We start from the raw sequence: 21452 nt of genomic DNA, 5'->3' as shown, positions 1-21452 counted from the left end.
GAGAAGGAATTTCACAAGGTAATGTCATCAGTTAGGGCAGGAACCGGCCATTTTCACTTCTTTTGTGATTCTTTACTTGCTTCAGGCCATCTGGATGTATATGTGCAGGCTTGGGCTCAGAGGCCTGACAGTCTCATTTTATCAACAGGAAAACGGAGGATCCTGCCTCCGGTTACAGAGACAGAGGGGCTCACCCTGGGCTTGACCTCCAGTTCTGACCTTCAGAACACACACTCTGCTCTGTCACAGGAAGCAGTGAGGGCTGGGATTCCCTCAAGCTCCAGGTGCACAGGCAGGTGCAGGAGTCAGCCTCTAGCCTCCCAAGCCACAGCTTCTACATTGTGAAGAATCAAAAGTAACTAGATGGGGGCCACCATGTGCCCCTGGTGTCAGCCTCCCCGTTCCCCAGCCTCTGCCCTCAGGCACCTTCTGCCTCCTGCTCCCCTGGTTCATCATTTGTCACTTCACTACTTCAAGGAGCTCATTGTCTCCAATGGACATTTGCATAAGTGAGTAACTGTAAAATTTAAAACCTTCATCTATCAAAAAATCCAGTCACAGTAGGTAGTAAATTTTACGAGGTATCAATTGGTGAGTGGGGGAGCGGGTAGAGACCACCATGGAGTGCCCAGCACCCTGCGGGTGCCTCTCCTGCACCCCTGCCTCTCCTGGCACACCCCCTGCCCATGCGCACCCCTCTGCCCGGCTCCTCCATGCTGGGAAGGGACTCTGTGATGCACGGCAACCTCAGCCTCTCGCTGCAGCTCTTCCAATGACCCCTGCAGTCAGCCCCAGGACACACACGGCTCTGTCCCTCACCACCTACCCTGCCAGCCTTCTTCCTGTCTCTTCCCAGTGAGAGGCCCTCAGCCATTAGACCAACAGCCCTTCTGGATTTAACAGGGACCAGTCCAGCGTTTCTCAAACTTAACGTGTACACAAGTCACCCTGCAGCCTGTAACATGAGGAGCTGGGTTCAGTAGGACTGGTGGGGCCTGAGAGCCCTCATTTCTAGCAAGTTCCCAGGAGATATCAATGCATCGGCTCCACACAGCACGCTCAGAGCCGCAAGGATCCAGTCTCAGAGACGACCATGCTGAGGGCCAGTGCTTCTTCCCAGATGCGTAACCAAGAGCCTCGGGAAGACTTAGGTCTTTTTCTTTCTTCTCCTCCCCACCCTTTAAGATCCTATGCTACCAGTACCAGTAGAAGAGTTAAAAGATCAAGCGCAGTTTGGCAAAAGATCAAGCGCAGTTCGGGTGCGGTGGGTCACACCTTTGGGAGGCTGACGTGGGTGGATCACATGAGGTCGGGAGTTTGAGACCAGCCTGGCCAACATGGTGAAACCCCATCTCTACTAAAAAATACAAAAATTAGCCAGGCATGGTGGCGTGCACCTGTAATTCCAGCTACTTGGGAGGCTGAGGCATGAGAATCACTTGAACCCGGGAGTCGGAGGTTGCAGTGAGCTGAGATTGCACCACTGCACTCCAACCTGGGCAACACAGCAAGACTTCCGTCTCTTAAAAACGAAAGAAAAAAATAAAACGATCAAGCACATGCACAGATGATACTGAACTACTTAGACCCCAGTGCAGCACAGACCCCACGGATCCCAACAGGTGCCATCCATCAGCCAGCAGCCCCGCCAGTGAGGGGTGGCTCCACACCAGCCTCGGGCGTGCACTTGTGCTGTGGCGGGTTGAACTGTGTTCCCCCAAGAAAGATATGATGAAGTCCTAAACCCCAGTACCTGAAAATGTGATGTTATTTGGAAATAGGGTCTTTGCGATGTAATTAAGATATAAGATGAGGGTCATACTGGAGTAGGGTGGGCCTTTAATCCAATATGCCTGTGTCCTGATAAGAAGAGAAGAGACACAGAGAGAAGGCCCCGTGAAGATGGGCACACAGAGGCAAGACGGCCGTGGGGCAACGGAGGCAGAGATGGTAGCTGCACAGCCGCAACCACAGAGTGCCAAGGACGGCCACAGCCCCAGAGGCCGGGAAGGTACAGCGCCAGAGGCCGGGAAGGTACAGCCCTGCCCACACCTGGACCTCAGACTTCTGCCTCCAGGACTTGAGAGAAGAAATTTCTAATGTGTTAAGCCCCCCAGTTTGTGGCAGTTTATTACAGCCACTCTAGGAACTGATACAGTTGCTTCATTCTGTTTTGTTTGAAACAGTCGCCATAGGAAGGGTGATGAGGAAGGAGATTGTACTGTGAGGTTACAATGAAGGCTTCTTCCAGTTATTTCACCCCCTTGCTCGACTCTCAAAGGGCCGGAGGAGACAGAATTGGCTATGTTCATAGGGCATTAAAAGCCAGCAATGAGCATTATCCAGGAAAGCACTTAGTTTCCTTAAGATCAAATGGAAGAAACTCAGAAACCCATCAGAAAGGCAGAGGGACATGTCCCTTCAGCCACCCAGGCTGTTCCAGAAAATGGAGCTTCATGAGATACATGTGACACACAGGCAGAGGTGCTGAGCCCAGGGCCTCAGAGGGGAGGCCCAGCCCTCTTGCACTTTAAAGAAAGCAATCTGTAAAGATGGAGCCTTCTGTCCAGTTCAGCTGTGGTGGAGGCTGTTCATTACCACCCCATGTCCACTCCCGTCTTCTTTCATGACAAACACTGATTCTTACCTGTGCCATTGCCACCAGCTCAGTGACTACATTTACCACCATGCCCAGCAGCGACTTGGTGCCATGTGACCCAACTCTAGCAAGAGTAACTCTGTGAAGTACCCTAAAGGGGAGGAGGCACACCCCTTTTGACACTTCCTTCTTCCTGCTGACCTCCAGCAGGCATGTCAGCTGGAGTTCCAGCTGTCATTTAGGGCTATGAGGACCAGGACTACAATCTAGGGTTGGCAGGCCAGGACACCGCAAGGAGCAGAGGACCCTGGGGTTCATGGAAGCTCTGAGCATCCCTGGATAGCCCACCCAGAGAAAAAAACAAAACCTTATGTATTGAAACTACTGTTGCTGGGCACTGTGGCTCATATCTGTAATCCCAGCACTTTGGGAAGCCGAGGCAGGAGGATCACTTGAGCCTAGGAGTTCAAGACCAGCCTGGGCAACATGGCAAGACCCTGTCCCTGCAAAAAAATGTAAAACTTAGCTGGGTGTGGTGGCACATATCTGTGATCCCAGCTACTTGGGAGGCTGAAGTGGGAGTATCACTTGGGCCCAGGAGGTCGAGGCTGCAATGAGACATATTTGCACCAACACTCAAGCCTAGGCGACAGAACGAGATCCTGACTGAACAAATAATAATAGTAGCCATTATGGCTGGGTAACGTGGCATCCCATTGTGGCTTTAATATCCCCAATGACTGGTGATGTTGAACATGTTTTCATATGTTTGTTTATTGGCCAATTGTATATTTTCTTTTTTTATTTTTATTTTTTTTTATTATTATACTTTAAGTTTTAGGGTACATGTGCACAACGTGCAGGTTTGTTACATATGTATACATGTGCGATGTTGGTGTGCTGCACCCGTTAACTTGTCATTTACATTAGGTATATCTCCTAATGCTATCCCCCCTCCCCCCACCCAGTGTGTGATAGTCCCCTTCCTGTGTCCAAGTGTTCTCATTGTTCAATTCCCAGCTATGAGTGAGAACATGCGGTGTTTGGTTTTTTGTCCTTGCGATAGTTTGCTGAGAATGATGGTTTCCAGCTTCATCCATGTCCCTACAAAACACATGAACTCATCCTTTTTTATGGCTGCATAGTATTCCATGGTGTATATGTGCCACATTTTCTTAATCCAGTCTATCACTGATGGACATTTGGGTTGGCTCCAAGTCTTTGCTATTGTGAATAGTGCCGCAATGAACATACATGTGCATGTGTCTTTATAGCAGCATGATTTATAATCCTCTGGGTATATACCCAGTATTGGGATGGCTGGGTCAAATGGTATTTCTAGTTCCAGATTCTTGAGGAATTGCCACACTGTCTTCCACAATGGTTGAACTAGTTTACAGTCCCACCAACAGCGTAAAAGTGCTCCTATTTCTCCACATCCTCCCCAGCACTTGTTGTTTCCTGACTTTTTAATGATTGCCATTCTAACTGGTGTGAGATGATATCTCATTGTGGTTTTGATTTGCATTTCTCTGATGGCCAGTGATGATGAGCATTTTTTCATGTGTCTGTTGGCTGCATAAATGTCTTCTTTTGAGAAGTGTCTGTTCATATCCTTCACCCACTTTGTGATGGGGTTGTTTTTTTCTTGTACATTTGTTTGAGTTCTTTGCAGATTCTGGATATTAGCCCTTTGTCCAATGAGTAGATTGCAAAAATTTTTTCCCATTCTGTAGGTTGCCTGTACACTCTGAGGGTAGTTTCTTTTGCTGTGCAGAAGCTCTTTAGTTTAATTAGATCCCATTTGTCAATTTTGGCTTTTGTTGTCATTGCTTTTGGTGTTTTAGTCATGAAGTCCTTGCCCATGCCTATGTCCTGAATGGTATTGCCTAGGTTTTCTTCTAGGGTTTTTACGGTTTTAGATCTAACATTTAAGTCTTTAATCCATCTTGAGTTAATTTTTGTATAAGGTGTAAGGAAGGGATCCAGTTTCAGCTTTCTACATATGGCTAGCCAGTTTTCCCAGCACCATTTATTAAATAGGCAATCCTTTCCCCATTGCTTGTTTTTGTCAGGTTTGTCAAAGATCAGATGGTTGTAGATGTGTGGTATTATTTCTGAGGGCTCTGTTCTGTTCCATTGGTCTATATCTCTGTTTTGGTACCAGTACCATGCTGTTTTGGTTACCGTAGCCTTGTAGTATAGTTTGAAGTCAGGTAGCGTGATGCCTCCAGCTTTGCTCTTTTGGCTTAGGATTGACTTGGCAATGTGGGCTCTTTTTTGGTTCCATATGAACTTTCAAGTAGTTTTTTCCAATTCTGTGAAGAAAGTCATTGGTAGCTTGATGGGGATGGCATTGAATCTATAAATTACCTTGGGCAGTATGGCCATTTTCACGATATCGATTATTCCTATCCATGAGCACGGAACGTTCTTCCATTTGTGTCTTCTTTTATTTCGTTGAGCAGTGGTTTGTAGTTCTCTTTGAAGAAGTCCTTCACATCCCTTGTAAGTTGGATTCCTAGGTATTTGATTCTCGTTGAAGCAGTTGTGAATGGGAGTTCACTCATGATTTGGCTCTCTGTTTGTCTGTTATTGGTGTATAAGAATGCTTGTGATTTTTGCACATTGATTTTGTATCCCGAGACTTTGCTGAAGTTGCTTATCAGCTTAAAGAGATTTTGGGCTGAGACGATGGGGTTTTCTAGATATACAATCATGTCATCTGCAAACAGGGACAATCTGACTTCCTCTTTTCCTAATTGAATACCTTTTATTTCTTTCTCTCGCCTGATTGCCCTGGCCAGAACTTCCAACACTATGTTGAATAGGAGTGGTGAGAGAGGGTATCCCTGTCTTGTGCCAGTTTTTAAAGGGAATGCTTCCAGTTTTTGCCCATTCAGTATGATATTGGCTGTGGGTCTGTCATAAATAGCTCTTATTATTTTGAGATACATCCCATCAATACCATTTTTTTAAAAAAATAGAGACAAGGTCTCACTATCTTGCCCAGACTGGTCTTGAACTTCTCCTGGGCTTAAGCAATCCTCCTACTTTAGCCTCCCAAAGTGCTGGGATTACAGGCGTGAGCCGCCACACTGGCCCTGTATGTTTTCTTTTGAGAAATATCTGTTCATGTCGTTTGCCCACTTTCTAGTGGGAATGATTCTGGGGTCAACAATAAAATCAAGAAGGAAATTTTTAAATTTTTCGAGATGAATGATAATAGTGACAAGTTATCAAAAATCTCTGGGGTAAAGCAAAAGCAGTGCTAAGAGGAAAGTGTATACCACTAAACGCCTACATCAAAAAGACAGAAAGATCACAAACTGATAGCCTAACCACTGTTTCTTTTTTTGGTTTTTGTTTTTTTGTTGTTGTTTGTTTGTTTGTTTGAGACACAGTCTCACTCTGTCGTCCAGACTGGAGTGCAGTGGCGCGATCTCAGCTCACTGCAACCTTCACCTCCTGGGTTCAAGCAATTCTCATGCCTCAGCCTCCCAAGTAGCTGGGATTGCAGGCGTGCACCACCACACCCAGCTAATTTTTTGTATTTTTAGTAGAGATGGGGTTTCACCATGTTGGCCAGGCTGGTCTCAAACTCCTGGCCTCAAGTAATCCACCTGCCTTGGCCTCCCAAAGTGCTGGGATTACGGGCGTGAGCCACCACTTCCGGCCCTAACTCACTGTTTCAATTATGTGCTGTGGATGGCAACTGCCTCTTAACTTCCTCAAGCAAATCACTGAGGTTACAAAGGTCAATGGAAAGATGGTCAAAATAAGTGAATTATTTTATTTACAAATAAAAACTCCATTCTTACAGCAGCACGATATAGACACAGAGGAAGGAAAATTAGGCCTCTACACCCAGTATTTTTTTTTTTTTTTTTTGAGAAAGGGTCTCACTGTCGCCCCTGCTGGAGTGCAGTGGTGCAATCTTGGCTCACTACAACCTCCGCCTCCTGGGCTCAAGAGATCCTACCACCTCAGCCTCCCAAGTAGCTGGGACCACAGATGTGCACCACCACACCCAGCTAAGTTTTAAATTTTTGTAGGGATGAGGTCTCACCATGTTGCCCAGGCTGGTCTTAAACTGCTGGCCTCAGGTGATCCTCCTGCCTCAGCCTCCCCAAGTGCTGGGATTACAGGCATGAGCCACCACACCTGGCCTACACCCAGTATTTTTAACCAACCTCCTCCACCTCAGAAAGCTTGTTTGTAGATAATTGGAGTCATGAAATGGGAATATTTTCTTACTTGATTGACAGCAATCATTACTCACCCTGAAGGAGAGGTTATAGAGCTACTGCAACAAGAGCGGTTTAAATTATTTCTTTTTGGTTTTTCACTGCTTTAATCCTTGGATACATCTCATATTTCAATCTAATAGCAAAATGGAGCCTTTGTCTTCAGTTGGCCTGGGCTGTTTCTGCTCCTGGTTCTTAGTCACTGGATAGCATTTTGATTTCTAAAATTATTTTAAAATTTGATCCTACAAAGAATATACTTTAACTAAATTTGGAACTAGAGTTTATATCTCCATGTATCTCATGACAAAGGGGACAGGAGGGCCCTGCTACTTCCTTCCCACACAATCGTTTTTCTTTTTCCTTCAGTTCTTCTGTCTCTTTCCATATTATTCTGACTATCCTTTGGTTCAGCCTCTTTTGTGCCTCTGCTGCTTCCTGGGAGGAACTCAATTTGCTTTTAACTGTGCTGAAGACAGTGTGCAGGTCTTTTAAATAAACACAGGAAATAAAGTAGCATAAAGTAGAACCAGAGTACTGGCAAAGGAAGGTGGAGAAAGAGCTGGGGTCAGAGGCAAATTAAAGAGAACTGGAATTTCAATTTCTTTCTACAAGAGGCAGCACCATGGGCAACCCACCAAGAGGGCACCATCTACCCAAGAGGGCACCATCTACCCAAGAGGATAGCCATTTACTCCACAGAAGAGCATCTACCCAGGAGGGCAGGTGGAGGGAGTATCTTCCTGACACATTCATAACCACAGGTTGACAACAGAAGTGCCTGTTGCAGGCCACAACCAAATACTTTTAATAAGCATAGAAATATAATGAGATGGAAATTTATACCCAACAGAATTCCAGGGAGTTTCTCCTCACAAGAGAAAAAACTGTGTGGGCATGAGACTGCCCTTCCGAGGGGTTGTGGGCTGCAGCAGGGAGGCCCGCGTGCCTGCAGCGGAAGGCAGGTAGGTGTGCGATGATGTGCAGATGTGGGAGAGGACAGCGAGGGCAGTGGGTGGGAATGAGGGGAAGTACAGGAGGCAGAAAGAGGAAAGACTTGGGAGTCGTACTGTGGAAGTTGTTGCATGTAGCAAGCTCAACTCCCGGCCCAGGCACATGCCTGTGGTTCTCGTACAATCTGTATAGGAAGGCCAAGGTCACTTCCCAGATGATTTGCAGCTACCATTCCACATGTGACCAGGGCCTCCAGGCAGAAGTCAGTGTGAAAGGGGGCAGCCCACACAGGGAAATTAGATCTCGTGGCAGCCACAGGTGGACACCTGGAGCTCTCCTCCAGCAGCTGTGGAAGGGGTTTTCCCATCCCAGCTCTGGCATTGCAAGTGGGGAGCCCAGCGGGGGATCAGGTGGGGTTTCTGCATTTCTGGGTGGACATATCTCCTGCCTGGTGTGCCCCTGGCTCGGTGGCATATATGCCATGTCCCTGCCCTCCCAGGTATGCTGAAGCCCCTAACACTCTCTCCCTTAAAAAGCTAACTTGGGCAGCACTATTTACAATAGCAAAGACATGGAACCAACCCAAATGCCCATCAGTGATAGGCTGGATAAAGAAAACGTGGTACGTATACACCATGGAATACTATGCAGCCACAAGAAATAAAGAGTTCATGTCCTGATTGTATATTTAGAAAACCCCATCATCTCAGCCCAAAATCTCCTTACGCTGATAAGCAACTTCAGCAAAGTCTCAGGATACAAACTCAATGTGCAAAAATCACAAGCATTCCTATACATCAATAACAAACAAAGAGCCAAATAATCAGTGAACTCCCATGCACAATTGCTACAAAGAAAGTAAAATACCTAGGAATCCAACTTACAAGGGATGTGAAGGACCTCTTCAAGGAGAACTACAAACCACTGCTCAGTGAAATAAAAGAGGACACAAACAAATGGAAGAACATTCCATGCTCATGGATAGGCAGAATCAACATCATGAAAATGGCCATACTGCCCAAAGTAATTTATAGATTCAATGCTATCCCTGTCAAGCTACCACTGACTTTCTTCACAGGATTGGAAAAAACTACTTTAAAGTTCATATGGAACCAAAAAAGAACCCGCATAGCCAAGACAATCCTAAACAAAAAGAACAAAGCTGGAGGCATCATGCTACCTGACTTCAAACTATACTGCAAGGGTACAGTAACCAAAACAGCATGGTACTGGTACCAAAACAGAGATATAGACCAATGGAACAGAACAGAGGCCTCAGAAATAACATGACACATCTACAACCATCTGATCTTTGACAAACCTGACAAAAACAAGCAATGGGGAAAGGATTGCCTATTTAATAAATGGTGCTGGGAAAACTGGCTAGCCATATGTAGAAAGCTGAAACTGGATCCCTTCCTTACACCTTATACAAAAATTAATTCAAGATGGATTATAGACTTAAATGTAAGACCTAACACCATAAAAACCCTAGAAGAAAACCTAGGCAATATCATTCAGGACACAGGCATGGGCAAGGACTTCATGACTAAAACACCAAAAGCAATGGCAACAAAAGCCAAAATAGGCAAGTGGGATCTAATTAAACTAAAGAGCTTCTGCACAGCAAAAGAAACTATCATCAGAGTGAAAAGGAAACCAACAGAATGGGAGAAAATCTTTTCAATCTACCAATCTGACAAAGGGCTAATATCCACAATCTACAAAGAACTTAAATTTACAAGAAAAAAACAACCCCATCAAAAAGTGGGCAAAGGATATGGACACTTCTCAAAAGAAGACATTTACGCAGCCAACAGACATATGAAAAAATACTCATCATCACTGGTCATTAGAGAAATGCAAATCAAAACCACAATGAGATACCATCTCACACCAGTTAGAATGGCGATCATTAAAAAGTCAAGAAACAACAGATACTGGAGAGGATGTGGAGAAAATAGAAACACTTTTACATTGTTGGTAGGAGTGTAAATTAGTCCAAGCACTGTGGAAGAAGACAGTGTGGCAATTCCTCAAGGATCTAGAACTAGAAATACCATTTGACCCAGCGATCCCATTACTGGATATATACCCAAAGGATTATAAATCATATTACTACAAAGACATATGCACATGTATGTTTTTTGTGGCACTATTCACAATAGCAAAGACTTGGAAACCCAAATGTCCATCAATGATAGACTGGATTAAGAAAATGTGGCACGTATACACCGTGGAATAATATATAGCCATAAAAAAGGATGAGTTCATGTCCTTTGCAGGGACATGGATGAAGCTGGAAACCATCATTCTCAGCAAACTATTACAAGGACAGAAAACCAAACACCACATGTTCTCACTCATAGGTGGGAGTTGTACAACAAGAACACATGGACACAGGGCGGGGAACAATCACACACTGGGGCCTGTCGGGGGGTGGGGGGCTGGGGTAGGGATAGCAGTAGGAGAAATACCTAATGTAAACGACAAGTTGATAGATGCAGAAAACCAACATGGCACATGTATACCTATGTAACAAACCTGCACGTTGTGCACATGTACCCTAGAACTTGAAGTATAATAAAATAAATAAATAAAGAGATCATGTCCTTTGCAGGGACATGGCTGAAGCTGGAAGCCATCAACCTCAGCAAACTAACACAGGAACAGAAGACCAAACACCGCATGTTCTCACTCGTAAGTGGGAGTTGAACAATGAGAACACATGGACACAGGGAGGGGAACATCACACACCGGGACCTGTCAGGGGGTTGGGGGCTAGGGGAGGGAGAGCATTCAGACAAATACCTAATGCATGTGGTGATTAAAAACTAGATGACGGGTTGATAGGGGCAGTAAACCACCATGGCACATGTATACCTATGTAACAAACCTGCACGTTCTGCACATGTATCCCAGAACTTACAGTAAAATTTAAAAAAAATTAAAAATTTAAAAAGCTAACTTGGATTCCGTAGTCTGTAACTAAAACCCTGAGATGGTGGGAAAGTGGAATATTTAAAATGCTGTATTTTATATGCAAACTCCTGCCCTGTTCCTTCATGAATTCTAAACTAAATCTCTGTATTCAAGCTTTCTGGAGTTGGATCTTATTAAATTTGAAAAATCAAGAAGAGAAGCAAGCCTTAATGCAGGTATTTCTTAAAATCCCTTTCCTACCTATTTCTTCAGTTAACATACTGTGTTTTCAATACATTCTATCTGTAGACAAGCAACATGCTTTGCAAATGGAAAGTGAGAAAAATACATTGTGAAGGATAATCTCAGTCTTTGCCAAAGCACCGTGACAGAACTCTAATAGAAGACTCTTGGAGAAAATGACACAACCTATAAAAGTAAAAAGTAGACGAATGTTGTGTAAACTTATCAAGAGTTTATAACAATCCTTGCCTAAGATCTGTGGACACAGTGGCTCTTGAAATCCTGTCTTCACCTGACTGACTCTCCGGTTTCCAATAGGACCAACGTCCAGAGAATGGTTTCTTCTTTCCCTTATCGAGGCCAGATCCTGAAGCTGGGCAGCTCAGACGCTACTCCTGATCCCCATCCCAAGCAGACCTTTGCAGGACAGAAGGGTACCATCTTTCCAGGAAGCTGTCTTGCTAAGCTGTGCTCTCAGAGCATCCCAGTAGACATCTCTTACGTACCACAGCAGACCCAAATGGCCTCACCTGTCCCTTCCTGAGGCCACCGCTGCAGTAACCAGCTTCCTACAGGTGCAGCTGGCAGATATTGCCTCCAGCCCACCCCATGTACCTTCACTGCCACCCTGGCCTCCCTGCTTATGTGCAGGAGAGCACGTCACAGGGACCTGAAGGGCAAGTTCCTGGCATGTGTGAGATGAGACATGGGGCAAACTTTGAGCGGCGGGGGGGCCGAAGGAGTGGATAACACTCCCTCCTCTCTCCCCAGCAAAGGGGTGACTCTGAGACACAGTCCACACGGCTTCCAGGCGGTCACAGCACAGACCCAGACAGGTCACAGCATAGACAGATAGTCAGGCAGGTCAGAGCAGGCATCCTGCGCGGCCACTCCACCATCCCTCCTGCGCGGCCGCTCGACCAACCCTCCTGCGCAGCCACCGGACCACCCCTCCTGCCCAGCCACCGGACTGCCCCTCCTGCATGGCCACCGGACCGACCCTCCTGGGTGGCCACCAGACCGCCCCCCCTGCCCGGCCACCAGACCACCCCTCCTGCATAGCCACCTGACCGCCCCTCCTGCCCGGCCACCAGACCACCCCTCCTGCCCGGCCACCAGACCACCCCTCCTGCATAGCCACCTGACCGCCCCTCCTGCGTGGCCACCAGACCGCCCCTCCTGCATAGCCACCTGACCGCCCCTCCTGCCCGGCCACTGGACCACCCTTCCTGCATGGCCACCAGACGTCCCCTCTTGCATGGTCACCAGACGTCCCCTCTTGCGTGGCCACCAGATGGCCCCACCAGACCGCCCCTCCTACATAGCCACCTGACCGCCCCTCCTGCGTGGCCACCAGACCGCCCCTCCTGCATGGCCACCTGACCACCCCTCCTGCCCGGCCACTGGACCACCCTTCCTGCATGGCCACCAGACGTCCCCTCTTGCGTGGTCACCAGACTGCCCCTCCTGCGTGGCCTCTCAGCACTGCCCTCCTCCCCGCCCACTCCATTCCCTGTGACCACATCCACAGCAAAGCCCTGCACTTCAGTCACCGCCTCATGCGCTGCATTCTGGGGAACCTGGAGCTGAGATCGTGTGGCCCCCAGAGCCACCGCTGAGAGACAGCAGGTAACACGACCCCACACATACAAAAGTCACGGCTGCCACAGGTTGCCCAGGAGTCTGTCATTGTGGGATCCAGCTCTAGAAGGAGAACCTGGGCCAAAGACATTCTTGGGAATTCATGAATTCCCAAGAATCTGAGCTAACAGTTTCATCAGTAGTGAGTGCTAGAGTGAAGTCCTGCTATGTTAGGCCCCGCTGCGTCCATCCCCCTCCTCTTGGTAACTGTACTCTGATTATCAGACTCCTCAATGGGTTCACGGGTGTCAGGGGAAATGGGCTGACCACCACAGCTGCAAGACTGGGACCTGCTGGGCTTGGGCCCTGGCTCTGGGGACTGGTTCCGTGACGGGTCATGAATGACACACAGGTGATTTCTGGGGCATCTGGGTAAGAAGCCTGGCTGCACGCTGACACAGTGGAAGGACGGCCTCTCTCCCTGGGGGTGTGGTGTGTGACTATGAGGCCTAGAGCAGCCATTTTGCCGCCACGAGGGTGTCTATCCTGAGGATCAGTCAATCCCCAGAAAAGCAGAGCCCTGGGACCCTGGGGAAGGCTGCCAGGCGCTCTCCCCTCTCGGCCATGCTCTGAACGGAAGTGGCGGCAGCAACAGGAGAGATTCTGGAGCTGGCTCTGTGTCAGGCCTCACAGAGACAGGCTCAATGCCCCGGCTCACAGGGCCCTCTCACCAGGGAGGCAGCAGGTGGCCAGATGCAAGCATACGGGGTGCAGTACCCCCCAGGTGACCCCCAGGGTCAGGAAGTGCGTTTGCCCCAAGGGTGAGGGCATCACCTGCGTCCCAACTCAAGAAACCGGCCCTGCTCCAGGGCCATCCGAGAGAACCTCCACTTAAAAGCTGGCGCTGCTTTTCTAGAGCCCGGGCCCTTCGCCGCTTGAGAGGAGCTGCACATTAAGTTGGAGAAATCAGGGTGCGACCTGGAGGGCAAGGCGGGGAGGAAGGGTCTGGACAAACACTGCTGTCCTCGGATCTCAGGAGCACAAGGCGTGACCACTGGGATTCACTGTAGGATGAGAGAGCCTGGCTCTCCCCAGAGGCTGGCAGTGCTGGCTTTCCTCCCTCCTCCTGCAGAGACCCTCCCAGATCCTGCTGCAGAGACCCCCGGCTCTGGATCATCCTGCAGAGACCCTCCCAGATCCTGCTGCAGAGACCCCCGGCTCTGGATCATCCTGCAGAGACCCTCCCAGATCCTGCTGCAGAGACCCCCGGCTCTGGATCATCCTGCAGAGACCCTCCCAGATCCTGCTGCAGAGACCCCCGGCTCTGGATCATCCTGCAGAGACCCTCCCAGATCCATGCGCCCCTTGCCTGGGCCTTTTCTTCAAACCAGAGCTTTCCATTCATTCCTTTCTCCATCAGACACTCGCTGAGCACTTCCACGCTGGGCCTTGTACTGGAGCTGCAGAAAAGTCGTTCTCTAGTAGGACTGATAGATAAGTGGGGGCCCCTAGGATCACCTCACTTCTGACCCCAGCTGTGTAGCCTGGGGGCCCCAAGACCACCTCACTTCTCACCCAAACTGTGGACCTTGGGGGTTCCAAGACCACCTCATTGATGAAACTAACTGCGGAGCTTGGGGGTCCTCAGGACCACCTCACTTCTGACCCTGGCTGCCTTCCATGTCCAGCCCTGGGAGGTCAAGCCAATAGAGTGTGGCCCAAGGTCCCCACTATAAACACCATTGTCAGCGCACACTATCTAGGGGGGCCTGAGGTGCTCAGGTAACAAAGTGCTCCCGACAGGACACCCCAGTGGCCTGGGGACCAACCTCCCAGGGACCAAAGGTCAAGGGCCAAAGCCAGGCGCTCTGTGGGCACGGCTAACCGTCTACTGCATGGTCCGTGAGCAGTGACCACGGTGCAGTGTGCCGGACAGTTAGAGGTGGGTGCAAGAGAACGCCTCGCCCCTGAACCCAAGGACCCCTGAACCATGCAGCAGGAGAAGCAAAAAGCCCTTCCAGGCAGACCCGCTGTGCTCTAAGTCATGACTCAAGTGTGAAAGCCTAATGGATGACTTAAATAATTAAATCATATTCTTCAGCACATCATTGCGTCTGTCCTCTGCTTTACAGGGAGAGTCAGGAACTACCATGGCCCAGCATGCTGTGGCTTATTTATCCCAAGCCCTTCGTCTCAACCACTTCTCCCAGAGGAACATGGTGCTGTCAATAACAGGCATCAGTCAGAACGCCCCAGAGGTGCTGAGGGGCTTGGCACAGGTCCTCGCTCTCGGGAAGGATCCAATTTCATAGGTGGTGACAGGTCGGGGTGGGCTGCGCCAGGCCGGGTCCTCTCGCCTGTGTGCTCCTCTGCACCCCAGGATGGCATCGCATTTTGAACAATATGTGCTTCCGGGAGACTGTGGCTTATCTGGCACCAGCCAGGGCTTCACGGGCGTCCAACCGATGGAGTCACACGCAGACCCGACACCCATGCTGAACACCTGCTCTGCCATCTTGAAATTCTGAATCATTTATAACAAGAGGCCCCGCATGTTCCTTTTGCACCAGGCCTGCAGATGAAGTGCCCACCCTGAGACCCGTCAACAAGAAGCTGCTGGGAGGCCTTGCTGTGGGGTGCATGGTGCTGACTGCACAGAGGAGACCTCAGAACAAGGTCCTGCCAGGGAGCGGGAGCACCACGAGGTGGTAGACGGGGCAGGATGGGCACCACAGCGAGTCCGTGCACCAGAAGGCACAGACGAGTGCCAGGGCATGCTGCTGGCCCTCAGCAGGACTGGGCAGATCTGGGGAGGAGCATGGCCTGTGCTGACCCTTCCATACCTGCAAGGTGCTGAGGGGCTGAGAGGAGTGGGCTGGACCCACCCTGGGGATGGGTGGAAAAGGAAGTGCTCCCCAGAAGCAAGACGCCCAAATCCCTTAGGACAAGAAATGCCTGTGTTCCTCTGCCCCCACTCTGCATGCAGCCCTGCAGACCACGGTTCTGGTCACGTTCCGAGGTGCTAATACCAAAAAGGCCATCAGGCTCTGGGAACTGGGCCAAGCCGTTTCCATGTGTCTCCCCTGCTAATCCCTCCAACCACAAGAAGTGCACATCCCTACTCTCCTTAGAGTAAGGATGGAGAGTTAGAGTTACAGCGACTGGGTCACTTGCCCAGAATTGGCCGGTCAACACTCAAGTCAACCTCAGGAGCACTGAGGGTACCCATCAGTTCCCAGGAAACAGGAAGACTCGCGTGCTTGATATTAACAACGTGGATTTGTCTTGCCGTGAGTTGAAATGCATCCCCCCAGAACTCATATGCTGAGGTCCTAACTCCCAGGACCTCCGAATGTGACCTTATTTGGAAGTAGGATCATTGCAGAGGAAAGTAATTGAGATGAGGTCACACTGGAGTAGGGTGGGCCCTGATCCCATATGACTGTGTCCTTGTAACAAGAGTAATTTGGACACAGAAGCAGACAGGCACACAGGGAGAACGCCACATGCAGAGAGAGCGGGCGATGCTGCCACAGGCCAGGGGACCACCAGAAGCCAGGAGGGGCCCGAGACTGAGCCTCCCCCAGCGCCCTGAGTGGGAGCCCAGCCCTGCCCACATCTTGACCTTAGACTTCTCACCTCCAGGCTGTGACAAAATAAATTTCTGTTGTTTAAGCCGCCTAGTTTGTATACTTTGTTACAATCGCCCCAGGACACTGATACAGGTCTCCTCAACTATATTCAAAATGTTCTTGGTATCATCACATTTTCCAGGAGGGTCATGGGCATGGAGCTCCTCATACCCACTTTAAAAGCCATCTCAGGCCAGGCCAGTGGCTCACGCTGCAATCCCAGCATTTTGGGAAGCTGAGGTGGGTGCATCAGGCTGGGCGCAGTGGCTCACGCCTGCAATCCCAGCACTTTGGGAGGCCGAGGCGGGTGCATCACTTGAGGTCAGGAGTTCAAGACCAGCCTGGCCAACGTTGTAAAACCCCAACTCTACTTAAAAATACAAAAATTAGCCGGGCGTGATGGCTGCACCTGTAATCCCAGCTACTCAGGAGGCTGAGGCAGGAGAATTGCTGGAACCCGGGAGTCAGAGGTTACAGTGAGCCGAGATCGCACCACTGCACTCCAGCCTGGGCAACAGAGTGAGACTCCATCTCAAATAATTTAATTAATTAAAATAAAAGCCATCTCAGGCCCAAGGCAGTGGAATGCTTCACCCAGACCAGAGAGCACGTCAGGGGCGAGTCAGGATTAGCACACAGGCCTCTGCCTTAATTTGAGGCTTTTTTCACAAACCCACAAGGCCACCATCAGGAACCTAAATTCTGTTAAAGAAAAATGTGTGATATGGTAGAAAGGCATTGAAGGTTTTATCTCAGTAAAGTAACAGCAGTATCACAGCACAGATTCAGGATTGAGGCCTTCAACTTTTGCATTTTGAGTCAGAAAAATGTAGAATGGAGCGGCCACACCTTATTCAAACTTCCACTTTTCAAAATGAGACTGAATACACAAATGGACAATGGTAGATTGTATATAAACAATCTACCAGGAGCATTGAGGGTACCCGTCAGTTCCCAGGAAACAGGGAGGCTCGCATGCTTGATATTAACCACATGATATAAACAACGGTAGACTGTAATACTGACCCACAGTCTGCAGCCCAGGAGGAGAAACTGTGACCTCTGCAGCAATCGGCCCCAAATGCTCAGGACTTGATCGGTGTCTTCCCGCTGCCCTCCTTTTAGCCACCGCTTTCAATTTCGGACCCATCAGAGAACGGTGCTCTCCTGACCCATCACACAAGGGCCTGACTGTGGCGAGCCGGCCTACAGCTCCGCGTGCCTACAGCACCCCCTCGGCACCCCGGAGCTTCCCTCTTCTCCATGATGCCTCCTGCTCCCGTGCCCCCAGGAGCCTTCGCCACGCGGGCAGGACGGCGCCCAGGCCCTTGCAGAGCGGGCTTGGAGGGAACAGCCTCTGCCTGCGCTCACGGGGCCGGCGTTCATTTATTCCCACACAACCATGTTTTATCTTCTTTATGACAGATTATTTTTCCCAGAACTAAAAGGAAAGCCGTTTTCATTGTTAATTTTCCTCTGCTTTCTCTGAAGAGGTGCTGCCATGAAGCAAAATAGCCAGGGGGGGCAGCAAGACCACCAGAGTCCCCACCGCAGTAAAGCAGCGGCCCAGGAGGCTGGGAACAGCAGCGGTCACCCGAGTTCCGAATCGAAATGGCCACGACACGGAGAAACTCTGTCCACAAACACGATGCCCACTACTCACAAGAGGTGAGTCCGGATACCACAATGTATCTACTTTTATCATATGCACGGAAGGAGTTTGTTTTCCCTAAGCAGTGGACACTTCAGCTGGGCACAGCCGTGTGCACCAGCTACTTATGAGGCTGAGGCGGGAGAATCACTTGAGTTCGAGAGCAACCTGGGCAGCACAGGGAGACCACGAAGAGAGAAGGGAAACAGGAAGGGGAAGGGGAAGGAAAACAGGATGTGGGGGGGGAGAAAAAGGGAAGGGAGGCCGGGCACGGTGGCTCATGCCTGTAATCCCAGCACTTTGGGAGGCCGAGGCAGGTGGATCACTTGAGGTCAGGAGTTCGTGACCAGCCTGGCCAACGTGGTGAAACCCTGTCTCTACTATAAATACAAAATAGCCGCGTGTGGTGGTGGGCATCTGTAATTTCAGCTACTCGGGAGGCTGAAGCAGGAGACGCTTGAACTTGGGAGGCAGAGATTGCAGTGAGCTGAGATTGCACCACTGCACTCCAGCCTGGATGACAGAAAGGCCATGTCTCAAAAAAAAAAAAAAGAAAGAAAAAGAAACAGGGAAGGGAAGGAAAATCTGACGTCACAGTGATCACAGCCACACTTACCAACTCCCATTGGTTAATGCTGTCAGAATCACCAGCATCTGTAACTCCTTTCCCTCCGGGGTGTCTTGTTTATATTTGAAATGGAATTCCAGTAGATGGAAATTATATCCTTTTCTAAAAGAGGCTGCTTAAGTGCATTCTGAAGAGAGTAGTAGATTGAATTTCTCTGTTATCTTAGATGATGAGTATGAGCATAAAAAAGAAATGAAAAATAACAAAAAGAAATGCCAAACAGTCCATTTTGTTAATTATAATCTTTCTGCTAGGTACCAAAACACCCTCTGTAACTTCAATTCTCCTTATGTATCACTGACCATCAAAAGCACAATAATCATTTCTCCTTGGTCCACAGTAAAATATTCCAAAGTAAAACAAAAAAATCCTTTTTAGAAACCAGCTTCTCTCTCTCACTAAACACAGTCCACTTACACAAGTCCCTCCACAGATGCCCCATCTGAAGGCAGCGCTTCATGGGGAGCCCCATACGATGGCTCCCTGACTCTGCGATCTGGTCTGGAGATGCAGTGGCCCTGACTCTGCGGTAGCACCGACTCTGAGTTCTGGTCTGGAGGTGCGGTGGCCCCGACCCTGCGGTCTGGTCTGGAGGTGCAGTGGCCCCGACTCTGTGATCTGGTCTGGAGGTGCGGTGGCCCCAACCCTGCGGTCTGGTCTGGAGGTGCGGTGGCCCCGACTCTGCGATCTGGTCTGGAGGTGCAGTGGCCCCGATCCTGAGGTCTGGTCTGGAGGTGCAGTGGCCCCGACTCTGCGATCTGGTCTGGAGGTGCAGTGGCCCCGACTCTGAGGTCTGGTCTGGAGGTGCAGTGGCCCCGACTCTGAGGTCTGGTCTGGAGGTGCAGTGGGACGCACCAAGGCTCTGTGCCAAGTCCCCGCAGGCTCCTGCTCAGGACACAGTGCAGCTCAGCACATTAATGACAGCTCTCACAGCCTCGAGGAAACAAATGTTTCCCTTTGTTAGCCCAAAGTTTCCTAAACACATCTGACTTGGAGCTAGATTTTCACATCTCTGCTGTACCAAGGGAAGGCAGGAGCGGCTGCTCCATAGGAAGCCATGGTCCCCCGGGCCAGGACCGAGTAATCGGTGTTGTTCCCCTCCACAAGGTCACCGGTTTGACTCCTGTGTAACAGTGGACTTGACTGTGTCTTATGGACACAGACTGGATTCTAATCCCATCAGCCCTTTCTCATCACAAGTCATCGCCTCCTGGTAAAAGGGGAGGGTGGGGAGAAGTGAACTTGTCAGTCTAGCGGTCTGTAATTCTGTCATCCCCACAAACCCATCTCTAATACTGGGGAAAATGGACACCAAGTCCAGTTCCTGGTCCATTCAAACTGGCCACGCACATCACCGGGGGGTAAGGATGGAGCAGGTGCAATTCCAGTGTTCACAGCCCAAGGCTTCCCAGAGCAATCTGCTGTAATGGTAGAGTTTAAATTAAATTATATATAAACACTCAAGATGCATACCTCTTTGTGTGAATGCATCATTTGTTTTATTTTTAAGAAAAGGGAAAAAAAACTGAAAATCTGTCCCTGGGTGTGGTTACTAAGCCCTATCAACATTACTGTTATTTCACTTCCAAGGGAACTCAAGCACCTACTTTACTCTGTCACAAATATACAACTTCTCAGAGTACTGGCACAATAAACTTAGTACACACATGATTACTAGTGGTTTAGTGATTAGCACTAAATTACAGAGGACACTCCCCCGGGAAACGATGCTGTTCATAAAATCTCAGCACAAGGGCTGTCAGCTCTTTAAAAGTCACCTGACTGTAAATCAACCCGGACCTGAACTGCACATGACCAGAAAGTTTATAATGCTATTAATCTATGCCATTAGGGGACATTAAGTTACGTAGAGTGTGGCAATCACATTCTTAAACTCTAATTCAGGAGAGCTGTAATTATATCATGCAATAATGTTTTGATTACCCATAAAGTTTAATTTATCATGGACATAAGACCTAATGAATAAATATGTAAAACATGCTAATTCAGCTCAAGAAAATGATTGCATAATCAGAAATGCCCGTGCAGTATACCAACCTAATTAAGATAAAAGATGTCAGTGAAAAATATCAGTCATTTGCACCTTTAGAGCCCACAAAGTTACTTCTCCAGCCAGCATATTCCTTTTTTTTTTTTTTTTTTGAGACGGAGTTTCGCTCTGTCGCCCAGGCTGGAGTGCAGTGGCGCGATCTCGACTCACTGCAAGCTCCGCCTCCCAGGTTCACGCCATTCTCCTGCCTCAGCCTCCCGTGTAGCTGGGACTACAGGTGCGCGCCACCATGCTCGGCTAATTTTTGTATTTTTAGTAGAGACGGGGTTTCACCGTGTTAGCCAGGATGGTCTCGATCTCCTGACCTCGTGATCCGCCCGTCTCGGCCTCCCAAAGTGCTGGGATTACAGGCTTGAGCCACCGCGCCCGGCCGCCAGCATATTCCTAATTAGTATCTATGTGTCTAGCTCTTTCTCTATGCTGGGCTATATCCTAAGTTCTTCTTTAATAGTTCTCAAATACCCCTGTTCTGGACAAATCACAGAAGCTTTTTTCCTACAAAAGAAATAAAGCAGAGTTGCGGGTGGGAGAGAAGACAAACTACTTCTAAATCTAGCAAGAGAAATGATCTTATTGGTACTTTACATTTTAAAACTAAAATCGAGCCACATCCACTAGCTACATATTTTGTTACACTAAACCTCAAAAAGCTCATTCCCCTCCTTCAGCTAAAGGTTGTAGTATGTTACCCTTCTGATTCTGGAGTCCCTTCTCACATCCTTTATTAACTGCCCAGAAGGAGACACACAGTTCCTCCATGGCTCCCGTGCTGTATCTACCAAACCATACGACCTGTTTGCTGAGGCCATCTTTCTGGAGCTGCCGTTAGAAAGCACAAGAGCAGGCCAGGCACAGTGGCTCATGCCTGTAATCCCAGCACTGTGGGAGGCCGAGGCAGGTGGATCATTTGAGGTCAGGAGTTTG

The 21452-nt window shown here is 49.1% G+C and overlaps 1 annotated feature.

Moving 5' to 3' along the window:
- Positions 558–1313: an enhancer, noted in NCBI's record as "H3K27ac-H3K4me1 hESC enhancer chr7:152580535-152581290 (GRCh37/hg19 assembly coordinates)". NCBI's record gives its function as "activates a minimal SCP1, AML or CMV promoter by ChIP-STARR-seq in primed H9 embryonic stem cells {active_cell/tissue: H9 hESC(primed)}" and the evidence as "EXISTENCE:reporter gene assay evidence [ECO:0000049][PMID:30033119]".

The sequence above is a fragment of the Homo sapiens genome, chromosome 7, assembly GCF_000001405.40.
Source record: "Homo sapiens chromosome 7, GRCh38.p14 Primary Assembly".
NCBI lineage: Eukaryota > Metazoa > Chordata > Mammalia > Primates > Hominidae > Homo > Homo sapiens.
Note: the sequence above shows the minus strand (reverse complement) of the source record. Positions and strands in the feature narration are given on the sequence as shown.